This window comes from Homo sapiens, chromosome 4 (assembly GCF_000001405.40).
Source record: "Homo sapiens chromosome 4, GRCh38.p14 Primary Assembly".
Taxonomy (NCBI): Eukaryota; Metazoa; Chordata; class Mammalia; order Primates; family Hominidae; genus Homo; species Homo sapiens.
The window spans coordinates 156299802-156306930 of record NC_000004.12 but is presented as its reverse complement, the minus strand read 5'-3'; positions in this window follow the sequence as shown (position 1 = coordinate 156306930).

Below are 7129 nucleotides of genomic sequence, written 5' to 3'. Positions count from 1 at the left end.
TTTCTTAATAATATGTGAAGAGTAAATCTGAGACCCAGACTTTGTGTGGTTAAATATGGGAGACTGACAATGTGTTTCTCTCCACTGATTTTGCAGCCCCTCTAAATGAGAGTGAGCATGCACAAAATATGCATAAAACATTAAGGGCAGATAGAATAGCTGAGACAATGAAGTCAGAGAAGTTATTTTTAGAAACCAGAAAATAGATGGACAAGTGGTAACATATTTAGGAAACTAGAGGAAGTTGTGTTCTAACTCTATTTTGATGTGTCCCCAACCTTCATAGTTTTTATGTCAGTGCAGCAAATATCTTCATTCTTTGGCCATTGTGATCCTTTTCCATTGGCTCCTGTGTACTTTAAACAACACCCCAGTACCTTTGAAAGCTTCTTTATTTTCTGATTTATAGAGCTCGGTCAAGTCCATTTTATATGCTTTCTGCCTCTAACCTGAAAGCTGTTTCTCCAAAGAGTCCTGGTTACTTTGAGTGTGAAAGAAATATTCAGAGATCATAATCTGGGCACCCAGTGTGATCATTTTGACTGAGTCTGTTCACTTCACCCCAAAGTAATTCTATCAATACTGTTGGTTTGGTATGACCCAGTTTCAGGTTCATTCTTCTCAAAGCAGTCTTGCCATTTGACTCTTCGCTCATTGTCATGTTTTTAGAAACTCTAAATATTCACTGTCCCGAAGTGTGACACATGAGACATTATCAACAGAATTTAGGAAATAATTTAATATGATGCTGTCACTGTCTAACATTCTTGCTTAAGAGTGGGGAAAGATTATTTTTAGCTGCCATGATGTTAGTGTTGATGACAGGACAAGAGAGTTTGTGGCTATTTGTATTCTCACAACAAACTTTATACTACTTCTTAATAAAAATTTCCATTTTCGTGTGTGTATTGTGAAGCCTAATTGTCAACCAAGTACACTTTGACTTCTAATCATATTTCCAAAGGTATGATGAAAAAATAGACACTTAGAAGACATAACACATATAGTACCTTCTTAAAGGCAGTTTTCAACCTATTTCAGGAGACAAACATAATACTAAAGCAAGATTTAAGAAAAAACACACAGAATAGACAAAGCTGTGGAATAATATAATAGATATATCAATTATATATAATTTTAGAAGAGAAATAAATTTGAGCAAGAAATCCATCCATTCATTTATATATTCATTCAGATATTTACGTATCTTTTTGTGGGGAAAAGCAAGAGAGATCAGATTGTTACTGTGTCTGTGTAGAAAGAAGTAGACATAGGAGACTCCATTTTGTTATGTACTAAGAAAAATTCTGCCTTGAGATTCTGTGACCTTACCCCCAACCCCGTGCTCTCTGAAACATGTGCTGTGTCAACTCAGAGTTGAATGGATTAAGGGCGGTGCAAGATGTGCTTTGTTAAACAGATGCTTGAAGGCAGCATGCTCCTTAAGAGTCATCACCACTCCCTAATCTCAAGTACCCAGGGACACAAAAACTGCGGAAGGCCGCAGGGACCTCTGCCTAGGAAAGCCAGGTATTGTCCAAGGTTTCTCCCCATGTGATAGTCTGAAATATGGCCTCGTGGGAAGGGAAAGACCTGACCGTCCCCCAGCCCGACACCCGTAAAGGGTCTGTGCTGAGGAGGATTAGTAAAAGAGGAAGGAATGCCTCTTGCAGTTGAGACAAGAGGAAGGCATCTGTCTCCTGCCTGTCCCTGGGCAATGGAATGTCTCGGTATAAAACCCGATTGTATGCTCCATCTACTGAGATAGGGAAAAACTGCCTTAGGGCTGGAGGTGGGACCTGCGGGCAGCAATACTGCTTTGTAAAGCATTGAGATGTTTATGTGTATGCATATCTAAAAGCACAGCACTTAATCCTTTACATTGTCTATGATGCAAAGACCTTTGTTCACGTGTTTGTCTGCTGACCCTCTCCCCACAATTGTCTTGTGACCCTGACACATCCCCCTCTTCGAGAAACACCCACAAATGATCAATAAATACTAAGGGAACTCAGAGGCTGGCGGGATCCTCCATATGCTGAACGCTGGTTCCCCGGGTCCCCTTATTTCTTTCTCTATACTTTGTCTCTGTGTCTTTTTCTTTTCCAAATCTCTCGTCCCACCTTACGAGAAACACCCACAGGTGTGGAAGGGCAACCCACCCCTACATCTTTTTCCAAAGATGTTGAAGATATTTATAGAAACGCATACAATATAAATATAAAAAGAACTACAATGCCTACAATTGTCCAGGGAACAAGAAAATTGAAGAGAAATTTGGCAACAAGTATTAATCGCTTTAGAAATATGAGTAACTTATGAACTGAGACTTTTACTTTCATTAATTTACATTAATAATATGAAGTTAAATATTTAGCAATTAAGATACTTGACACTGCTGTTCATCACAGTAGTAACCTGTTAACCATTAAACACAGCATAAATGCTCAAATATATAAGAATACCTCAATTAAATAATGATTATTCATATGAAATATTATGAAACCACTAAATATTATATGTTAAAAGAATATTTAATAACCTAAAAATCATCATGTTAATTTTCAAAAGCAAATTTAAAATTATATTTTAACACATTCAAATATTGTTTAAATAATTAGAAAAACAACTCATTTTAGGAAGTAATGGAAATAGATCCAAATATTTGAAGTAGTTATTTCTGGATGCTTATTTACAAGTAATTTAACATTTTTACACTATTTCCTCTATTTTTCAATTATTTATAAGAATTTCCTTTTGCACCATTACTTTTCTGTGAGATAAAATTTTATTTTACCATTAAATTGTAATATATGCAAAAATTAAAAGATATCTGATAAAAAAGGGTAAATATGGGACAGCAAAATTAATTGAAACATGTATCAAGTTAGAGTAGTAAGTAGTCTGCCTGGAAGTATTTCATAACAGCTAAAATGGACCACAGATTCACGCTTGGAGTTTCTGATAACAAGGTAAACATAGACACAAAAACTGTGCCTATATGATTGGCAGTATAAATAACTTAAAAGCAGACCAGATACTCAGAGGAAACACAATTGTCCCGCCTAATGGGGTTTAAGAGCCCTTCTGTTGGTCTTTAGAAAAGGATACTGAGTTATATTGTCAAAGGGAATAGACAGGAAGTTTTTGTTAAATAGACAGGGTTTCAAGTAAACCTTTAGTTTTGAATATTTGAATAGGTAGAGAGGAAACAGGAGAGACACATTCCAGACAGAGAAAACAACAGGAACAGAACTATAAAGTGATGAAGGAGCTCAACATGTTTTAGTCATTTAAGATGACAAAAGTACAGGGCTTATATTGGAAGGCTGTTGACAAAGTATGACATGCAAATGTCAAATATGAGGCTCCTGGGGAGAACTAGACGAAGATGGAGATAGGAAGAGATGTGTGGGGCCGGGGTGGCAAGCATTAGTATCTCTTGGGGAGAAAGAGTATGTATCAGTCCAGTATTTCAGAGAAGTGTTGATTACACTTAGAAGAAGGGAAAAGACTCAAACAAAAATCAAAGTTGCATATTTAGAAAGAAAACACTGTAACAGCATAATAAGAGTTACTAATTCTTCACCTTTAGGTAGTGCCAGAAGTTTTGATTAACATGTCTTTAATCTTTACAACTTTTCAATTAGGCATTTTGATTCACATCGATAAGGGCATTATGTGGTTATTTGCTCAAGACTGTACAAGAGGTAAATGGTAAATGTAAGTAAAGTTACCTGTTCTAATAGTTCTAATATTTATACTCATTTCTCTCTGCACAGTATTATAGCTAAAAGTGCAGGCTCTGGATTCAGATACCTGGGTTTAAAAATTGGCTCATTAGCTATTAGTACTTCTTGGTATCTCCATTTTCTCGTCTTGTAAAAGAGTATGATAATATATCCCACAAGTCAATTTTGAAGATTAAATGATTCATTGCTCATAACATATTTGAAACGGTGCCTGGCACCTAGCACTTAGCTCACATTATGCTTTTCTGTCTCTTCTCACCTTGAGTCAAATGTAATGGAAAATATAAAAAAAAATTGTAATTCATTCATGAGAAAAAAATCTAATAATATTTTAAACCTTATAAATCTTAAGGGGAAAAATGAGTTATTCAAACCTAGTACCTAGTGCTTCTCCAAAATTAAATTGCGTAGATAATAAAATTTTTGGAAATCTCCTCAAAGTTTTATCTTAACATTCAGATAACTGGATCAGAGACACTCTATTATTCATAGAAGAGCATGCGGTATTCTCAAACATTATGTAAGATCCTAATAACATATTTGGAAATTACATTTATCTGTATTGAAATTTTCTTATTGACAAACTTCAGAAGGTGCTCCATCTTTATCCTCAATGGAAGTATTTATTCATCATTCTGCTGCAATTATGATATTGCTTACATACTAACTCAGTGTGGATTGGCCATTTTCTGCCTTAATCCCAGCACTTTGGGAGGTCGAGGCGGGCGGATCATGAGGTCAGGAGATCGAGACAATCCTGGCTAACACGGTGAAACTCCGTCTCCAATAAAAATACAAAAAATTAGCCAGGCGTGATGGCGGGCGCCTGTAGTCCCAGCTACTCCGAAGGCTGAGGCAGGAAAATGGCGTGAACCCGGCAGGCGGAGCTTGCAGCGAGCCGAGATCGCGCCACTGCACTCCAGCCTGGGCGACAGAGCGAGACTGCATCTCAAAAAAAACAAAACAAAAAAAATACATTTTATAACGAAGACTAGCAGTTTTGAACATCATCTAAGTTTATAGTAAGACTTTTCTGAAAGGATATATATATATATATTTTTTTTTTTCTTCATATAGTTTTCACTCTCTATCCAAGCAATATACTGCAGTGCATTGAGCCTTTTTCAAATTATCATTCAACTACTCAAGCATGAGTCATTCAATGAGACTTTAAAAATCAAGTTTTCCTTTTATAATTTACTTGAAAAATCTCTGTATTGCAGAAAACAAAAACAAAAACAAACTACTCTGTTTCGGGACTCTACATGTTCTATTTAATTTCTAAGAGTGGTGGTGGCAGGGTAGGGAAAGCTTAAAATAATTCCACACTTTCTTATACATATTATATTTCAGGTTGAATTATCTGCTCGTCTGTAGTGGAGGGAAGAAACTAAGAACAACAACAACAAAAAAATACAAAAAAAAAATAGGTCTGATCTGACAGGCTGATTGCTTTGAAGAAAAGAAAATCCCCATTCAATAGAAATATAAGGAAACCTATGATGGAATGGTTTTGTTCGTACCAAATAAGTTATACTTCAGTATTTAATCTTTCATTTTAACTTTCTAACCACCAACTGGAACGAAAGGCTAAAAAGCTACGTGTAAATCTGTGTGAAGTTAGAAATATAAGAAATACAATAAACGGATAAAATTAGAGTTTTGTAACATACAGCATGCTTTTTGAATTTAGAAGTTTTAATGACTTTTTCTTGTTATATGTTTGGATTTCATGGATAGCATTTCAAAAGTAAATATAGACGTTATTCTAAGTAAGAGGGCAGTCACGCCAAGACACTTCATGATAAAACTTCTTAAAAGTAAAGAGAAAGAAGTAATCTTGAGCAGCAAGAAAAAACATACCTTACCTAAAAGGAAAAAACAAAACAATTCAAATGACAATGTGTTCTTTATCAGAAAACCTGGAGGCCAGAAAAAAAGTTACACAATGTTTTTGAAGTGCTGAAAGAAAAGAATTATCAACTCTGAATTTTATATCCAACAAAAATACCCTTTAGGAATGAAAGGGAGATTGAGGCAGTCTAAGTTGAAGGAAAACTAAGAGTTTATTGCCAGTAAACCTAAGGATGGCAAAATAAAGTTCTCTAGACAGAAAGGAAATAAAAGAAAGCACCTTAAAACATTAAGGAAGAATAATGATGGGCAGAGCAAATGTGAATACATTCTCCTTGTCTTCTTGAGTTTTCCCAACTATTTTTGAAAGAGCAAAAAGTATAGCATTGTATCAAGTGGAGGTCAATGTATGCCAAGGAATGTTTAAGACAATTATAAACAGTGGAGGATTAAGGAATTTAAAAGGAAGTGAAGTTTCTTTTTTCTTTCTTTCTCTTTTTTTTTCGAGACGGAGTCTCGCTCTTGTCACCCAGACTGGAGTGCAGTGGAGTGATCTCGGCTCACTGCAACCTCTGCCTCCCTCCTGGGTTCGAGCAATTCTCCTGCCTTGGCCTCCTGAGTAGCTGGGAGTTCAGGCACTCACCACCATGCCAGGCTAATTTTTGTATTTTCAGAAGAGACGGGGTTCACCATGTTTGCCAGGCTGGTCTCGAACTCCTGACTAAACGATCCACCCCCGTCAGCTTCCCAAAGTGCTGGGATTATATGCGTGAGCCACCACACCCGGCTGAAGTTTCTATACTTCATTTGAAGTGGTAAAATATTCACATCAGATCTTTGGGGTGATGGAATAGTTCAGAATCTTGATTCAGGTAGGATTTAAAAGAACTTTTTGTGTATTAAAGTGGCATAGAACTACAGTTGTTCCTTGGTATACACAGGGGATTAGGTTAGTTCCAGCCTGCGCTGCCCCCATACTAAAATCCATGCACACTCAAGTCCCACAAGCAGCTCTGCGAAAATACGGCTGTCTCTATGCATGGATTTCTTACCCCATGAATACTGTACTTTCTATCAGCCTTTGGTTGAAAAAAATCCACATGTAAGTGGACCCTTGCAGTTGAAACTCATGTCACTGAGGGTTAACTGTACACTTACACATTGAACCAACGTAAATTCCTGGTTTTTATATTGACTATAGTTATACAAGATATAAATACTGGGGGGATTCAGTGAGTGGTGTATGCACCCTCTATGTACTACCTTTGCAACTTCTGGTTAACCTGTATTTATTTCAAAATAAAAGGCTAAAACCCATATATATTTACACACACTTTGAAAACCACTGTCTCAAAGAATTTGTTTTGAAAAGACAACATTCTCATTGTTTCTATTTATAAAAATTCTTAATTTTAAATTTCCCAGTGGTGTAGACTCCATAAATATAAATTTTTAAAAAGAACCTTCATTCAAATAACTTTTTAGCCCAGCAATATGTCAATAAAATTGGTTACCAGGAGATG